Source organism: Homo sapiens, chromosome 14 (genome assembly GCF_000001405.40).
Source record: "Homo sapiens chromosome 14, GRCh38.p14 Primary Assembly".
NCBI classification, from domain to species: Eukaryota; Metazoa; Chordata; class Mammalia; order Primates; family Hominidae; genus Homo; species Homo sapiens.
The window spans coordinates 89,935,382-89,954,963 of NC_000014.9; the positions used below are offsets into that span (position 1 = coordinate 89,935,382).

Here is a 19,582-nt window from a genome sequence, read left to right on the forward strand (position 1 = left end):
TTAAAATGCATGTGGGTTTTTTTTTTTTTTTTTTCCTAGAGACAGGGTCTTGCTCTCTTGCCCAGGCTGGAGTGCAAAGGCTAGTCACAGGCATGGCCACAGCGCACTGCAGCCTCAAAATCCTAGCCTCAAGTTATCCCCCACCTCAGTCTCCCCAGTAGCCGGAACTAAAGGCATATGCCACCATGCCAGGCTTAAAATGTGTGTTTTAGAGCAGGTATAATGGCTCATGCCTATAATCCTAACACTTTGGGAGGCCAAGGTGGGCAGAGAGGTTGAGGTCAGGAGTTCCAGACCAGCATGGCCAACATGGCAAAATCTGTCTCTACTAAAAATACAAAAATTAGCCAGGTGCGGTAGCTCACGCCTGTAATCCCAGCAATTTGGGAGGCTGAGGCAGGCAGATCACCTGAGGTCAGGAGTTTGAGATCAGCCTGGCCAACAAGGCAAAACCTATCTCCACTAAAAATACAAAAATTAGCCAGGTGTGGCGGCATGCACCTGTAATCCCAGCTAGTCAGGAGGCTGAGGCACAAGAATCACCTGAACCCAGGAGGTGGAGGTTGCGGTGAGCCGAGATCGTGCCACTGCACTCCAGCCTGGGTGACAGAGTAAGACTCTGTCTCAAAAAAAGAAAAAAAAAAACCCATGTTTTAAATGATCTTATAACTCTGTAAATGAATGCCAAAAAGTAGGTCTCTTTCTATTCACATAGCCAGCAAAATAAACTGTCACTTCAGAAACTCCAATTTCTTAAAACATATGATATAGTAAAAACCAAACAAAATTCAGAGAGAACTACATCGATAATATTTGCTCTTATCATTGCATTTGACTTAGAGAAGTGATAAAGGGAAAAAAGCACAATTCCTGGTTCATCGTGTAATTCACAAGGAAAAAAAAGGACCTGAGTGGTGATATCTTTTAAATTACATATTCAGATAACTCATGAGTATTTGGAGCTGTGAAGTATTCAGGTCTTTATTTTACAATATTGTAGGATAAAAACAAACAGTCTTTAGCTTTTACTAGGAGAAAATGTATGTGGATTTAAACTGTATGCCTATTACCACTTAAAAGGAAAACCCATCCAATAACAAAAATTACTCCGTATGTGTAATCAATTTCTTTCACACTATTTTCCCACACAATCATATGCTTTTATTTCTTAAAGTCCATACTCTAGGGGTTAAACTCATCAAGCATATATTGTGTGAACATATCCCCTCCCTTCTATGCCTTTAATTGTCTTAATCTTCTAACGCAACATTTATCCAAATACAAGACCCTTTTCTAAAAAGCACAGAGGAGTTTTTGTTCAGCTCGGCTCTCATGTTGTAGTAATATGATCACTTTCCAAAGCCAATACATAGTAACATGCTATTCCTGAAGCTCTGCAATGAAAACACATTAATGTAAGCTGTATACATCTAGCTCTTTAAATAACCTAGAAATAGAGTTCCTACTACTAGCTCCACCTGCTGTCACAACATTCAAACCTAAAATTACCACTTCACAAAGGCTTTCAGTAATTCTACTGACATCAGATTTCATACCCAATAAGAAATATATTACCTGTGTCCCCTCCCACCCCGCCTCCAGAGGAAGAATATGTTCAGAAAATTCTAATTTCAAATACAATGTTGAGTCATTTGTGCACACTGTTCCACTACTAATAGTTACCTAAACATCCTTTACCGTGGTTACAAATTAGCATCACAACCTTAGGAACCACACAGATCTATGTGTTTATCTGTGTTTATTATTAATATGTCTGCAGAAGGTATTCAGAAATTGCCTGGGTCATTAGACTCTATCAATAGTTGGCAAACTATTTCTTTTTTCAGCTGTAGGAAAGATTCTTCTTTATATGAAAATGGAAAGCCTCATGTGTAGAGGAGATGAAGGAAGAACTATTTGGTTTGAAGTGGGTGGGCTTCCCATTCTTCCCTATCCAACAGTGTCTTTGAATGTGTCCCCAAAGGATCTAGGATTGAGGTTTGTGGTTTAAAGACCACTGGACCAATGATCTTTACAAATCCTTCTTGACCCTGCAAGTCCATGCATTTTTTTGTACAACTGGAAAACATCTCCTTCCATTTTATAAACAATCCTTGGTAAAATGGACTCTCTTCATGTTCTATAACATATATATATATATTTTAGATGGAGTCTCACTCTGTCGCCAGGCTGAAGTGCTACAGCGCGATCTTGGCTCACTGCAACCTCCACCTCCTGGGTTCAAGCGATTCTACTGCCTCAGCCTCCCGAGTAGCTGGGATTACAGGTGTGTGCCATCACACCCGGCTAATTTTTGTATTTTTAGTAGAGACGGGGTTTCACCCTATTGGCCAGGCTGGTCTCGAACTCCCGACTTTGTGATCCGTCTGCCTCGGCCTCATAAAGTACTGGGATTACAGGCATGAACCACTGCACCTGGCCAACATGTACATATTTTTTAGTTTCCAAACTACTTAATACATGTATATATATCTATGACAGATATATATATAGAGAGAGAGAGACTAGAAAGATTATTTTTTTTTACTTGTTTGTTTTTAAGCAGTTTCTTAGGAGGGTAATCATCTTTCACCACAGGGGAAGATAAATTCAAAAAGTCTAACAAAACTATATAAATTTTTTACTTGAAAGTTCCATTAAGTATAGTTTTTTGTGGTTCACAGTTCTAAGCTTCAGGGTCAGTGCACACAGAGAAATCCTCTTGAAAATGAAGGAGTCTAGCATCTGGCTATCACAGTGAGCTCAACTTAGAAACTGCAATAAACCTGGGGAGAGTGAAGGAGAAAACAATAAAAATCGCAAGTTATTTGGACAGTAAGCCTGGTCCTAGATTTAGTAGAAAGGAAGGGTTCATGTTCATTGTGTCACATATTGATTTTTCCAGGAGTTAAAAAAATGCTTAAAAATTAGGGTTTAAAAGGATGAAGCAGTCTTTCAAAAGACATAATGCCTTCTCTAGTCTGAGACACAAAATTCAAATTATGACTTTTGGAGGCCATGACAGTGAAGGGGTGGGAGAAGGATATAATGTGTTCGCACAGAAAGACTGCAAGGATGGTAGGTGAAAGTGACTTCAAAAATAGTGAGTTGTCACCTATGATAAATGAATTCAGAGGATAATATTTTCTTCCAGCTTACTATGGATGTGTAGGGAAATAAAGAGAAAATAATCTACCTTAATGGAAGAAATCAAGTTTTACTATATAATTGGAGGGAAAATGAGTAAAAACAGTTAGAGGCCAGGTGTGATGGCTCACATCTGTAATCCCAGCACTTTGGGAGGCCACGGCAGGCAGATCACCTGAGGTCAGGAGTTAAAGACCAGCCTGGCCAACATGGTAAAACCTTGTCTCTACTAAAAACACAAAAACTAGCCAGGTGAGGTGGTGCCGCACCTGTAATCCCAGCTACTCAGGAGGCTGAGGCAGAAGAATCACATGTTCACCTCCAGGCTTGAACCCGGGAGGCAGAGGTTGCAGTGAGCCAAGACCGCGCCACTGCACTCCAGCCTGGGCAACAAGAGCAAAACTCCATTTCAAAAAACAAAACAACAACAACAACAACAAAGCAAAAAAAAAAAAAAAAACCAGTTACAGTAGAATAGAGAAATCTGAACCAATAAAATCTTATTTCTATCAAACCCAGGCAGGAATTGTTACTTTTTTATTATACACATCTCCTGCTCATAAAGCTTAAAAGGTTCCTCAGTGTCAAACACCACAAAGTCCTAATACCTTATTCTGGACTTTAAAGCTTCATCCTTCCTTCCGTGCACACCGGTCCTTAATCCTTCCCAGCTCTCATCATGCCAGCTGACTCGGCTGGACACAATTCATTTATAGTTACATACTATATTCCTTGCTGTTGCAGAGGTTAAAAAAAAAAAGTAAAAATCCAAGAAGAGTAGATTCTGTTAATGGGAGGACTGCATTAACAGCATGATAGCTGATATATTTAGGTATGCAAATCTGAGATGGGCGAGAGATTTGTAAAAGAACAGGGATCTAGGAAGAAAAGATTTCAGGCACTGACGTGGACAGCACAGAAGAGGGTCTCTGAAGAACTCTACACAGAGAGCACAGCACCAGCAACAGGAGCAGGAGGCGGGGCACACAGCTGGCACCTGCCCTGCATTCATTTACCGCCTCTTTTCTCCTTTGCTCCATCACTATTTCAAATCCCACCCATCCTTCAGCATGTCCAGCTCCAGGCCCACACCTCCTCTAGGGGGCAGTGCTGCCCTCCTGAACTCTTATAGGTTTTCTTGCCTATAATAGTAATATAACATCTGGCCGTAAAAGAAGTGGCAATATTTCTTTCATCTTCCCTATCACATAAGATATATACACATTTTTTGATGGAGTCTTGCTCTATCGCCCAGGCTGGAGTGCAGTGGCGGGATCTCAGCTCACTGCAACCTCCGCTTCCCAGGTTCAAGCAATTCTCCTGCCTCAGCCTCTGGAGTAGCTGCAATTACAGGCACCCACCACCACGCCCAGCTAATTTTTGTATTTTTAATAGAGACAGTGTTTCACCATGTTGGCCAGGCTGGTCTTGAACTCCTGACCTCGTGATCCACCTTCCTCGGCCTCCCAAAGTGCTGGGATTACAGGCGTGAGCCACCGTGCCCAGCCCACATAAAATATATATTTTTAAATGTCTTTAGGTCAGTGTCTGTGTCTCCTAATTCTTCCCCATCTGTATAGTGAAACATATTCACTGTTTTCTAAATGGGTAATTAAATAAACATGGATGGGTGAATATCTGTAGGAGATTCCATAAAATGCTACGATTATAATTTCAAAATAAGGTAACCTTAATGTGTATGCAGTTTCCTGATTATAGAAAAGAACTAAGAAGCCAATTGAAATCTGAAATCAACCAAAACCTTCATCCCTGCTATACCCTGATCTTTGTTCCATAGGAGCCAAAATAAAAAACCATACACAACAGCAGGTGTTTTATGACAGAAACTAAGACCAGAAAAAGGATATTTAAATTTAGAAAAATAATACCTTTAATAGTCAACTGTCTTGTTTAGAACAAGCCAGACAAGATATTAATAAATAAAAGCATGCAAGCCAACTGACCATTAACCTACTCATCCACAAATTATTTTTCAATTGGACCTTACACTGGATAGCAGTCACACAGTCCATAATTACTGCTATGATGAATCAATCGCTTTGATTTTTCCATCATTCAAAGTTGAGGGTTAAAAGTAAGTTCCTGGAAAGCTTTTTCAAGTATCAAAGTAGAATATGTTCATTAATTTAAAATGGCAATAGTATAAGGAAACAGAAAAGATGCTCAATCTAATCGCCTAGTGAAAACAAAATTCTGAAGTCCTTTTTTCTGGTTTTTAATCTTAGGCATATTTTACATAGATCCGAGATAATAACAAAGAGACAAATGTATGAGGATTCAGTGGGACAATGCTCATTCAGTTCTTATTTATAGCTTTTAGCATAAAGAAAAGCCCTGTAAATCTTAGCTGTTGTTATTTATATAGAATGATCTACAATTTATTCTGGAATAAAGTCAGACCACCTGAGATATGTATACTTGGAACACACAGCCTTTGCCCTTCATAGAATTGCCCTGACATTAAACACTGGTCTACATTGAGAAAAGATGAAGCAACAGCCTTACAAAATTCACTACTGCATTTATTGAACAGCTCATCGACACTGACATCCACTCAGCAGCCTCCCCTCCATGAGACATCACAGAAGAACTATCCCAGGGCAGGAGGACTTATGCCTCTCTAGAAAAATTGTTTTGTTGCATGGACCCTGACTGCAGCTGTGCTTGCTCGTGTTTTCCTATTTGTTCTGGATGCTAGGTAGTCCAGAACCAAATTTGAAATTAATGCCTAACAACTATAGAGAACATGGTGATTTGTTTTTCGTGTATTGATTCTACTCCTGACTTCAACTCATTGATTCATAAAGTTCCTTAGGGGAATGAATACTGGCCTCGATTTTGTCACAATTAGGAGTATGACCCATGGCACTATTAAAAATCAAAGGAAGGGCTCATCAATTGGTTAAGAGGGTGAGCTAGAAGGTCGGATCACGTTGGTCTGGTACTTACTAGCTACCGGTGCCACTCTGGGCAAATTATTTAATCTTGCTAGGCTTCTGGATTTATTTATTTTTTATTTTTAAACTTTTTAGTACTTTTTTTTTTTTTCAGAGATATGGTCTTGCTCTGTTGCCCAGGCTGGTCTCAAACTCCTGGACTCAAGTGATCTTCCCACCTCAGCCTCCCAAGTAGCTGGGAATATAGGTGCATACCGCCATGAATGGCCAGAGTTTTTTAACTTCTAAAATGGGGATAGCCAGGCACAGTGGCTCATGCCTGTAATCCCAGCACTTTGGGAGGCTAAGGTGGGAGGATCACTTGAGCCCAGGAGTTAGAGACCCTGTCTCAAAAATAATCATCTAAAATGATAAATAAAATATAATGAGGATAATATGGTTTGGCTCTGTGTCCTTACCCTACCCAAATCTCATCTCGAATTGTAATCCCTGTCAGGGCAGGGGCCTGGTGGGAGGTGACTGAATCATGAGGGCTGACTTCCCCCTTGTTGTTCTCACCAGATCTGGTTGTTTGAAAGAGTGTGTCAATTCCCCGTTCACTCTCTCTCTCTCCTGCCACCATGGGAAGAAGGTCTTTGCTTCACCTTTGCCTTCTGCCATGATTCTAAGTTTCCTGAGGCCTCCCCAGTCATGCTTCCTGTTAAGTCTGTGGAACTGTGAGTCAATTAAACCTCTTTATAAATTACTCAGTCTCAGGTAGTTCTTTATAGCAGTGTGAAAATGGACTAATACAGAGGATAATCATAATATCATAGTTACATTAAATATAACAATCATCACAGATGAATGTGCTCATCACAGATCTGCATGATAACTGTTCAGGAAATGATTGCTGCAATTATCTATAATAATAATAAATACTGTAAAAGGATTTTGCCAAGTATTTATTATTTTATTATTCCTCTATATCATTTTGTGATTCTTCTCTGAAGCCTAGGTTCCTCATTTTAAAATAAGGACAGATGACTGTTTTCCAGGTCTCTTCTAGTTGCAAGCTTCTTCATTCTATACACTTGGAAAAGTTATGAAGTGCATCACAGAGAATGAGGGTTATAATGAAACCCTCTGAAAGAGGTAGCAAGACTATAAATCAGAACCAACCTCAACTGTGATCTGCCGCTTCCTTTAACTAATGGCTTGATTTTTTTCTCCCACTCATATATTTCCTTGTTTCAAGCAGCCACAACAGTTTTTGCTTATATTCACTTGCTTGTTAGGTTACAGGCAATAAAAACATCATTAGCACCTTTCTGCTACTCACCCTGGCTGCCCTCAAATTCTCCCAGCATGTACACTTCTTCCAGATACTTTACTCTTATTTCTACTAGCTTTGACTTAACTTTTCACTCTTCTTAATTTTCACGAGGAAATCTCTATTGAAATGACCTACTTTTCAAGAGGATTCGAAGCCCTTGGGAAGCAGGGCCTGGGCATCCAGGTTTAGGTATAATCCCGAACCCAAAGTGCAGGGTGTCTAGCTTCCGGACTCTGGCCCTTCCTAAAAGCAGCTGAGTCTGGGCCAACCTAGAATGTGAGTCTGACCTTGCCCTGCAAGCTGGGCAGCAACTGGGCCCTGCAAAAGAATCCTGTGGATGGTGTGTTAGAGCCCTGTTCCGAAGTAAGAAGAACAATGGATAGCAGAGAATTCCCAAGTCACAGCTGTATTATACAGAACAACTTTGGAAAGTTGATTACCTGAATAAATAGTTCCCAGGAGGCCAAGGCCAGCATTTCAGACCTGTTTTTTTTTTTTTTTTGAAACAGGGTCTCGCTCTGTCACCTAGGCTGGCGTGCAGTGGCGTGATCATGGCTCACAGCAGTCTCAACCTCCTGGGCTCAAGCAATCCTCTACCTCAGCCCCCTGAGTAGCTGGGACTGGCATGTACCATCAGGCCTGGCTCATTTTTGTATTTTTTGTAGAGATGGGGTTTCGCCATGTTGCTCTCGCTGGTCTCAAACTCCTGGGCTCAAGTGATCCACCCACCTTGGCCTCCCAAATTGCATGGGACTACAGGCGTGAGCTACCACACCCCGCCAATTTCAGTTCTTCAAGATCCAAACATTAAGAAGAGAGATAATATATGTGGAAAAACATTTAATCTGCACATGTGCTCTCTTCCTTCAAGAGAAATAGCATGTAAAATTGACTCGTATCAATAAGAGGGAAAGAAGAAAAAGTGGATGGTTTGAAATTGGTTCAGTATTGAACAATTCTAATAGAAAAATTGCATGTTAGCAGCAATCAGAGTACAGCAGTGATTTCTTGCTAGGCTATTTTACTCCTTTTCTTGAATGTTTGTGGTCTTGAGTTTCTCCAAATAAACACACACACACACACACATACATACACACTCACACTAGAGTACAGCTGGGAGAATACAGGTGGGGACTGTATTCTTTCTTCCAGAATCCATACCTCTCTGCACATTAGAGAACTAGTTAAGGAAAGAAAACATTCAGTGTGAAGTCAAATCCTTAATTCAAAATCAGAGAACATACAGAAGAAAGAAAGTCTATGAGAATAATGAATGTTAAAATGCCTTCAGCAATAGTCACACTTGATGTATCAGAAAAGCCACTGTATTAATCTTTTCTCATGCTGCTGATAAAGATGAGACTGGACGATTTACAAAAGAAAGAGGTTTAATGGACTTACAGTTCCACACGGCTGGGGAGCCCCCACGATCATAGCGGAAGGCAAAGAGGAGCAAGTCATGTCTTACATGAATGACAGCAGACAAGAGAGAGCTTGTGCTGGGGAACTTCTCTTTTTAAAACCATCAAATCTCGTGAGACTTATTCACTATCACAAGAACAGCCTGGGAAAGACCTGCCCCCATTATTCAATTATCTCCCACTGGGTCCCTCCCACAACACGTGGGAATTATGGGAGTTACAAAATGAGATTTGGGTGGGGACACAGCCAATCCATATCAGTAACATAATAGAGAAACACGATATTATGACTAGGGTAAGATCTTCATCCAGAAAGAATAACTCACTGAATATCAGGGAACTCTTAAGAAAGAGAAATCCTATCAATGCAAAGAATGTGGGAAATCCTTTTGCCAGAAAACAAAACTCTCTGTAGATTGGAATATTCACAAAAAACCCTAATGAAAAAAATGTAGAAAAGGCTTTATCAAGAAGTTGTAACTAATGGAACATCAAACATTATTCTGAATATTTTGAAAGTGAAAATTTTCAACAAGAAATTTAAAACCTGGAGCAATTCTATCAAGTTAGCGATTATATCAAGAACATGTTCTCCTAGCAATAATCCTGAAAGTCTTATTTTAAATGTGATTCTAAACCTTGTACATAAAGTGTATTAGATTTTAATACAATATTAATAAATCTAATAAAATATTAGATTTTATTAGATCTAATAATAAATCTAATAAAATATTAGATTTTATTAGATCTAATAATAAATCTAATAAAATATTAGATTTTATTAGATCTAATAATAAATCTAATAAAATATTAGATTTTATTAGATCTAATAATAAATCTAATAAAATATTAGATTTTATTAGATCTAATAATAAATCTAATAAAATATTAGATTTTAAATCTAAATGTTAGTAATCCCTGCTCTCTTTTCCCCCCCCACTCAGTGTGGGTAGTAGTTTCTCATTTTTATTGATTACCTCAACAAAATCAGCTTTTAATTTTTTCTTGTTTGTCCTCTTTTCAATTTCAACAATTTCCATTCCAATCTTTACTATTTCCTTTCCTCCACTTATTTCGGGCCTTATTTACTCTTTTTTGTAGTTAAAGGTAGAAGATAATTAAAGGTAGAAGCTGAGGTCATCAGTTTGACACCTTTATTCTTTCCTAAACATAGAAAGTTAGTGCTACCACTTTCCAAGTATTGCTTTCAATCCATCCTACAAAATTTGAAATGTGGTCTTTTCATTCAATTCAAAATACTTCCTAATTTTTCCCTTTTGATTTTTTCTTTGACCTATGAGTTATTTAGAAGTGTGCTATTTGTTTGGAACTTTTAAACTTTTACTTGGAACAACTATTTGCAACTTTTCCAGACAGCTTTGCTATTGATTTCTAATGTCGTTCCATCACAAAGAACATACTTTGTACTTTAAATGTATTGACATGTTTAATGGCCCAGAGTATGACCAATTTTATTAAATATACTGTGTAGACTTGAAAAGAATGTGTATTCTGCTTTTGTTGGGTAGAACATTCTATAGATTACAATTAGGTCACACTGGTTGACAGTGCTGTTCACGTCTCCTATATCCTTATTGATTTTATGTCTACTTGCTTAATTATTGATAGGGGTGTTGCAACCTCCTACCATCATTATGGATTTGTCCATTTTTCTTTACAGTTTTATTAGTTTTTTGCTTCATGTATTTTGAATTTCCATTATTAGGGGATTTTTTTTTTTTATTTTTTTTTTTGAGACAGAGTCTTGCTCTGTCACCCAGGCTGGAGTGCCGTGATGCAATCTGGGCTCACTGCAACCTCCACCTCCTGGGCTCAAATGATTCTCGTGCCTCAGCCCCCCGAGTAGCTGGGATTACAGGCATGCACCACCATGTCCAGCTAATTTTTTTGTATTTTTTCGTAAAGACGGGGTTTCATCATGGTTGGTCTCAAACTCCTGGCCTCAAGTGATTCGTCTGCGTTGGCCTCTCAAAGTGCTGGGATTACAGGCTTGAGTCATGGCACCTGGCCAGGGGCATAAATGTTTAATTCCCTTAATGAACTGGCTCTCCTTATCCCTGGTAATATTTCTTCTTCTGAAGTCTACTTCATCTGATATTAACATGCTCACTTTGGCATACTTTTGGTTAGTGTTCAGTACAGTATATATTTCTAATCTTTTTTGCCCTTATGTTTAAAGTGGGCTTCTAGGCAACACAGAGTTAGTTGGTACTCTTTTATCTAATTTAACAGTATCTCCCTTTCAATGGGGCTGTTGAGATCATTTACATCTAACTAAAACATTAATGATTGGATTTAAATCTACCATATTATTTTTCTACTTGTCTATTTCCATCTATTTTTTGTTCCCATTTTCTTCCTTCTGTTGAATTAATTAAGTTTTTTAAGAGATGAGGTCTCACTCTGTCGCCCAGGCTGGGGTGCTGTGGTATGATAATGGCTAAGTGCAACCTCAAACTCCTGGGCTCAAGGGATCCTGCCTCAGCCTCCCAGGTAGCTAAGATTACAGGCACGTGCCATCATGCCTGGCTTTTTTTTTTTTTTTGCTTTTTTGTCGATTCAGAGTCTCATACTATGTTGACCAGACTGGTCTTGAACTCCTGGCATCAAGCAATCCTCCTGCCTTGGCCTCCCAAAGTGCTTGGATTACAGGTGTGAGTCACCACTCCCAGCCAACTGCTGTCATTTTTATCTTTGTTCCTATTCATATGTGTCTTTTTTTTCCCTAGATACACTTATGATTTTTTAACATACTAAAAAAGGAAAGATACTATTAAGGATGTTATTAGATCAACTGACAAAATATAGATGATAAATCAGATAAAACAGTATCAACATATATTTATGAATATGATAAGCATATTTTGGTTATATTCATTACAGAAGAGAAGGGGATAGTGGTAGAAAGTGCAAAGGAGAAGGAAGATGGTGTAAAATGTTAACAATGTCAATCTGGGTAAAAGGTATACCTTACACAGAGAGTAAGCTATTCTCTGTACTGTTTTATTTTGAACTTTTTGGAAGTTTTAAATTATTCAAAAAAAGGTAATATTTAAAAAGCCAATCTAACATGCTCTGGATCCTATCCCCTTACACAATAGGTCTCCTTCCCTCCCTCTCTCTCATCTTCCTTCCTCCTCTTCACTAGATCATTCTGCTAAGCTTGGAAACATGTTCTTCCATTTAAATAGAAACAAGAAGAAGCAAACAAAACATCTCTTGATCTATTGCCACTCTGGACTTAACAAAAGACTCATCTACTCACATTGTCACACTTCATCATCACTTTCCACTTATCTTCAACCCACTCTGCCCTCACCACACTTTGAAATGCCTCTTGCTAAAGTCATCAAACACCTCCAGGTGGCCAACTCCAAAGGATACTCATCAGTTATGCCACCTCACCTTTCAGGAGCATTTGATAGTGCTGACCACACCTTCCTCATTAAAATATCTACTTCTCTTGGCTTTTGATCAAACACTCTTGATTTTCCTCTTGCCCCTCTGTCACTCCTAAGTCTCCTTTGCCATTTCTTCATCTTCCACCTGACTTCTACTGGCTAGAGTTCTTAACATTCTCAGTCCACTCTATCTCTCTAGGTGGTCTCATTCATTCTCATGATTTTAAAATCTGTCTACAGGTTGATGACTCCCAATTTCTTCAGCCCAGAACTTACTTCTGAAATTCATCCAATCTGACTGCTTTGACATAGTAAACTAACACTTCTCAAACATACTCAAAATTGAGCTCTTAGTCTCCCTCACCCCCAGGTATTGCCTGCCCCCTGCTCCCACCCCACCGCCCCACCCGTCTGCCATCTTCTCTTTTCAGTAGGTGCCATGTCCATTCATCCAGCTGCACAAGTCAGAAAACCTAGTATCATTTTTTGAATGTTAAAATTATGAATGATATTTTTTCTTTATGCACTTCAACAGTTTAAAATTTCCCTGTGATAAACATATTTATAAATAATCAAAATTAAAAGAACCTCAAAAGAACACATACAAATGGCAAACAGGCATATGTGAAAAGGTACTCAATATCATTGATCAGAGAAATGCCATCAAAACTACAATAATATCATCTCACCACAGTTAAAATGGCTTTTATCCAAAAGACAGGTAATAACAAACGCTGGCAAGGATATGGAGAAAAGGGAGCTCTTATTAAACTGCTGGTAGGCATGTAAATTAGTACAATCACTATGGAGAACCATTTGGAGGTTCCTCAAAAAACTAAAAATAAAGCTACCATATGATCCAGCAATCCCACTGCTGGGTATATACCCAAAAGAAAGGAAATCAACATATGGAAGATATCTGCATTCTCATATACTGTTTGTTGCAGCATTGTTCACAATAGGCAAGATTTGGAAGAAGACTCAGTGTCCATCAACAGATGAATGGATAAAGAAAATGTGGTACACATACACAGTGGAGTACTATTCAGCAATAAAAAAGAATGAGATCCTGTCATTTGCAACAACACAGATGAAAATGGGAGGTCACTATGTTAAGTCAAATAAGGCACAGAAAGTCAAACACTGCATGTTCTCACTTATGGGATCTAAAAATCAAGACAATTTAATTCATGGACATAGAAAGTAGAAGGATGGTTACCAGAGGCTGGGAAGGATAGTGAGGATGTTGGGGAGAGTTATGGATGGTTAATGGATACAAAAAAAAAAAAATAGAGTAAGACCTAGTATTTGATAGTACAGAATGGTAACTATAGTCAATAACAACTTAATTGTACATTAAAAAATAACCAAAAGAGTATAATTGGATTCTTGGTAACATGAAAGATAAATGCTTCATAGCATGGATACCCCATTCTCCATGATGTGACTATTAATACCTAGTATTTGATAGCACAATAGGGTGACTAGAGTCAAAATGATAAACATTTTAAAATAACTAAGAGTGTAACTGGACTGTTTGTAACACAAAGGATTAATGCTCGAGGAGATAATTATCCCATTTCCCATGATGTGACTATTACACATTACATGCCTACATCAAAACATCTCATGTACCACCTCTCTATATATACACCTACAAAAATTAAAAATTAAAAAAAAATAAAAACCACCAAAACCTTTCTTTTGGACAACGGGAAACAAAATAAAGATGTGCTTAAATATAATGCTATATAGTTTTTATTTATTTATTTATTTGGAGACAGAGTTTCACTCTTGTCGCCCAGGCTGGAGTGCAATGGCTCAATCTCAGCTCATTGCAATCTCTACCTCCTCAGTTCAAGCAATTCTCCTGCATCAGTCTCCAGAGTAGCTGGGATTATAGGTGCCTGCCACCACGCCCAGCTAATTTTTTGTATTTTTAGTAGAGACGGTGTTTCATCATCTTTGCCAGGCTGGTCTCAAACTCCTGACCTCAGACGATCCACCTGCCTTGGCTTCCCAAAGTGCTGGGACTACAGGCATGAGCCACTGCACCCAGCCTAGTTTCTGTTTTTAATTTTCATTTTGTGAGTGTTGTTAGTCTGTTTTCATGCTACTGATAAAGACATACCCAAGGCTGGGCAACTTAGAAAAGAAAGAAGTTTAATGGACTTACATTTCCACGTGGCTGGAGAAACCTCACAATCATGGCAGAAGGCAAAGAGGAGCAAGTCACGTCTTACATGGATGGCAGCAGGCAAAGAGAGAGCTTGTGCAGGGAAGCCCCCCCTTATAAAGCCATCAGATCTCATGAGACTTATCCAGTATCATGAGAACAACATGCGAAAAACCCGCCCCCATGATTCAGTTACCTTCCACCAGGTCCCTTCCACAACACATAGGAATTTGAGATGAGACTGATGTAGGGACACAGCCAAGCCATCTCAGTGTCTAAATAAGGTACTAAAAATTAATATTAACTTTCATATTACCAGAAGTATTTGGATTTATTGAAGACATCACAGAATCCACTTCTATCTAGAAAAGAGGAAAAAATAATAGAACATGTAATTTTATCACGTTTTCACAGTGCAAGTTCTTAATTCTTCAGGTGGGAATAAGGATCTATTTTATGAGAAACCAAGTCTGTTGAACCAAGCAGACAAGTAATGATACACAATAGCTATAATAGTCATTTTATTTTTCCATCAACATCTATAAAATAGCAGACACTAATCTGCTAGTCCCTAATAGCCCCCAAAACTTTATTCCATTGACCAAAACAGTTTAAGAACAGAAAATCAATTTGGCTGTCCCATATATAATATAATCTAACAGGCAGGCAGCCTTTCTACTTTAGACAAATACAACTGTTATAATGGGCTCTATGGCTCTATTTTTAAGATTTTTTTCCTAATTATAAAAGTATCACATGATTGATGTAGAAAGCATGAAAAATACAAAAAATTATGAAGAAAATTAAAAAATCAGCCATCCAATGAAAATCATTGTTATCATTTTAGACTAATCAGCTTTTTTCCCCTATGCATCTTTAAACATTTGAGACTTTACTGTATAGAAAATATGAGGACCTGCTTTCACTAAATGTTAAAATATAAGCCCTTTACCACACTGTTACAAGGGCTTTATAAACGTTATAGTATTAGAGCCTTCGCAGCATCTGACATAATTTCTCCACTTCTGGTCTCGAACCCTTCCCAGTATTTCCTGCATTTTCCTGGTTCCTCTTGTTCCTGCCAAATGGTTCCCACTCCCACTTCTTCAAGTCCCCTCCTACCCTTAAATGCTTGTATTCCCTAACGTTCTATCCTCAGACCATGGCTCTTCCTATTCTGCATACTCTTCCTGGGCAATGCCATCCAGCCTCGTGTTTTGAGCAACCACATGGAAACCAAGGAGCCCCAAGTCTATCTCCAGCCCTATCCCCTCCACCCAATTTCAGATTGCTACATCTCAGGGAAGCAGTAAAATCTAACGGTGGATTTTCACCACCATAACCTCAATAGCCAGCATATTATTTAACGAGTGAATGCACCTGGAATGCTCATAGCTGCCTCAAACTCAATGTGTTCCAATCGAAACTCACTGACTTCCTCTGAACCTACTCTTAAATTTTCTCTTAATTGGTGGCATTGCTATCCCTTCAGTCCCAGTGGTCATGTCACTCTTACCACCACCACATCCAATCAGTCATCAGGGCCTAACTTGTCCCACCACCCACAAAGTGTTCCTAGATACTTATCAGAGTAGTCTATCTTCTCTAGTCTAAATGACCACCCAGACTGTTATAGTTACCACTAGAATTAGGCCTTCCTTCTTTGCTCCCTTCACTTTGTTTTTCAATCTCTTCTCTTTCTTGGTATCTATCACAGTTTTATGTCTTTCTATATTAAACTCTGAACTGCTTCGAAGTAGAGACTGTGTTTCATTCATCTTTATATCACTAGCAACTAGCAAGTACTCCTTTTATTAAATAGAAACAATAAATTTCATTGTGTATGGGTGGGCACAGTAGCTTATGCCTGTAATCCCAGCACTTTGGGAGGCTGAGGTGGGCGGATCACTTGAGGTCAGGAGTTGGAGACCAGACTGGCCAACATTGGTGAAACCCCATCTCTACTAAAAACACAAAAAAAAAAAAAGAAAAAAAAGAACCGGGTATGGTCGTGTGCACCTGTAGTCCCAGCTACTCAAGAGGATGAGGCAGGAGAATTGCTTGAACCTGGAAAGTGGAGGTTGCAGTGAGCCTAGATCACGCCACTACACTCTAGCCTGGGTGACAGAGCAAGACTGCATCTCAACAAATAAATAAACTTAATTATGTAAAAAACTGCATGAATGTATAAGTGATTTATTATATAAGTATTTTATTGCTTCATGACCTGCAGTCAGTGAATATTTCATTTGCTCAAAAGCAATATTAAAAAATTAAACCCCAAACCTCAACCTAGTCTAAAAAAATCTGTTGAATTTCACAGAAATTAAGTGTCACCTGCATAATAAAAGTTCATTGTACAAATGACTAAGTTTATAGGTGACATGCTATTAGTAAATACCGTTTAGTGACCTGCGGTTACTAAATAGTTCATTTGCTTAAAAAATAAAATAGAAAACCTCACCTCAATATGAAAAGTAAAATCTGTTAAATTTCATGGAGTGTATGTACAGTATGTTACATCACTGTATCTGTCATTAAATTCCTCATTCTAAAATTGAAACCAAATAGACTCAAGGGTGATAAAGGCAAAAATGAGACAAGATACCTTTCCAGGTGAATCCAAGTTAAATACAATGCTTCACAGGCTGACTCTTTTCAGCTGACCTGCTTTGTAATTCCAACTGAAATGATTACAGGTAAACAGGAGAGCTGCCATTTCTAAGAGTCAGCCCTGACTACTTCTCTGAGCTCCATAATAAGCTTCTCAGTAACTAGGCAGCCCCTCATAGCTGAGCCACTCTGAACCCACCTGAGCTGTTCATGCAACCTACTTGGGTCAAGAGAATATATTAATACTTATTGTGCATCACAACTTCACAGTAAGTATGTTCTGTTGACACAAATAGGGCGGAGAGGCATGACATCACAGGGTCCCTGGCTTTGCTGGGCTTTCAATCTGACAGAAAGGCACAGTCCACTCATGAGGAGAACAGCTGGGCCCTAATTAACTGCCAAGCTGTCTGGTCTAATGAGAGTGAGGGATGGCATTCCAGGCTGAGCTCTGAGTGCTTCCTTTGCTTGATGGTGGCAGCTCAATTTCTTGAATCTGGACAATATCTTGACTCTGACTAATTCCAGCTTAACAAGAAGGGTGTTGTCTCTCGAATGAATGTAACAGGAAAGCAGAAAAGCATAAAGACAGGGGTGAGCAGGAAACTTGCCCTACTCAAGCAGGAGGTTCATGGAGGCTCAGCTCAACTCTCATTATTGGTGAATTGGTGCAATCTTTTCTGGAGAGCAAATATCTAACAAAATTTTAAACGTACATATTCCATGACCTAGCAGTTATACTTCTAGGAACTTATTCCACAGATATACAGCCACAAGGACATAAATGTGTGTATCATTGCAGCAATGTTGGCAGAAAAAAAAAAAAAACCCCACCTATATAACCCCAGACAGGAACCTGGCTAAAAAGAATATGCAACCATATTTTAAAATGCAGTAGTGGTGTGTGCTTTTAGGTTGATATATTGTTAAATGAGAAAAGCAAGTTAAAGTAGGCACAATATTTACCCATTTATGTTTTCAATAAAAGACTATGCATATGTATGTCATGGATAGAAAATTTCAGAATTACACAAAAAAACTGTTAATGGTAATCCCCTAGGAGTGGGACCCTCTGGTAGGCGGCGAGCGGATTTTATGCTCAACTTTATACCTTTCTGCACTGTTTTAATTTTTTGACCGTGGATGTATTTTATAAACAAAGCAACAAAAGTAAAACGAGAAAGAGACTATGTCATGTCCTATGTAAATTTCTCCTGTTACCAACACTCCCCTCTCAGTCTTCCCTCTTGGCACCTCTCTAGCATCTTGTATTTATAGTAGTTATTAGCAGCCTGGTGGTGAGATAGGCTTGTGTAGACTCCAGTGGAAAAGATTTCTACTTCATCTCTGGGCTGAGGTGTTAAGAGGAAGCTAAAATTCAGCACTGGACACATCTCTGAAATTGCTTATAAAGCAATTTATAAACATCCTAAGCTAGCCCTGTGAACTTTTCTTAGGATCCATTCACCTTTGATCGTCTACCCCATCCCCAAATATATAAGAAAGCTCTACCTTGGAGGGCTTGTACCCAAACAGCATTACAACAGCAGTTTTAAAGTCCTCTCTGCTGAGATATCCTTTGTGATCTTCATCACATGCTTTAAATACCTGAAGAACATTAAATAGCTTTAGTTAATGAGACAGAAATGGTTTATTTTTATTACTAGTTTATTATACAGTTTGGACCTCGAAAATCTAAAACTTGGCCCAGCGGTAGAGTATGAAAATAGAATTTCATTATCCCAATATTAATTCTCAAGAAATCTTAAAGATGGACTGAAATTTTCTTAAACATGGGCTGAAATTTCCCTCAAAGTGCAAACGAGTTAACCGCTAGGTGACGCAAATTAATTCATTTAGGCCACTGAGATAAATTCTACCCAAAATTCAGTCCTGGAGTTAGGAAGGTGAGGCAAAGGGGCTGGCTTTGAAAGGCGGGAGAGATGCAGACTCAAGGTTACCATTAATAGACTATATAGAGAGAAAGGAGATGGAACTTGGAGGTAGCCGTAGTCCTGGACGGGGAGCCAGGAGCCCTGCAGCTCCAGGATCAGTCATTAACCACGACCCTTTGGACAGGCAGCCCAGGTCTTATCTGCACACCCGGCAGAGTGAGACCCAGACACGGGAGAGGAAGCGAGAGGCCCAGGCCAAGCTGAAGTCCGAGGCTCAGTCGCCCTCCGGAAACCTACTTCCACCCACTTCCTGTGTTCCGAGGGACTGGCTTCCCACGTCCGCGACCTGGCTCTGGCCTCGGAGAAGAACATCGCGACTACAACAACCGAGCCCCAGCAACCCAACCAGCTACCACCGCTTTCCCAGCCTGGCTGGCAGCCTACCGCGGCCACGCCCACCGCGGCTCAGGAAGCCGAACTTCACCGCGCAACTCCGACGTCTCCTCCCATTGGACAACCTGCCAGCCACTCGCGTTAATCCCGCAGGGCTATTGGCCAGAGTCTTTGTTTAATTACGTTTCCTTGGAGCCGCCCTGGCAGTGAGGCGCCCAGGCCTGCCCCCAGCACTTGGCTCCACCCCCTGACTGTCCCTTAACTCGTTGAGCGCGGCTGGAA

The 19,582-nt window shown here is 39.4% G+C and overlaps 1 protein-coding gene across 5 annotated transcripts in view, besides 1 other annotated feature; it reads right to left on the reverse strand.

The window, feature by feature from the left end:
- Positions 1-19,396, reverse strand: part of EFCAB11 (EF-hand calcium binding domain 11) — a 160,109-nt gene extending 140,713 nt beyond the window's left edge. For 2 of the 5 annotated variants that reach the window (NM_145231.4, NM_001284266.2), the window contains exons 1-3: positions 19,205-19,349; positions 18,525-18,620; positions 14,716-14,761 (exon numbers count right to left, since the gene is read on the reverse strand). In NM_145231.4, the coding sequence (NP_660274.1) occupies positions 14,716-14,761; positions 18,525-18,620; positions 19,205-19,279 (217 nt within the window). In that variant the 5' untranslated portion in view covers positions 19,280-19,349. The other 3 variants (NM_001284269.2, NM_001284268.2, NM_001284267.2) reach the window with 2 other exon arrangements.
- Positions 19,078-19,578: an enhancer, noted in NCBI's record as "H3K27ac hESC enhancer chr14:90420803-90421303 (GRCh37/hg19 assembly coordinates)". NCBI's record gives its function as "activates a minimal SCP1, AML or CMV promoter by ChIP-STARR-seq in naive H9 embryonic stem cells {active_cell/tissue: H9 hESC(naive)}" and the evidence as "EXISTENCE:reporter gene assay evidence [ECO:0000049][PMID:30033119]".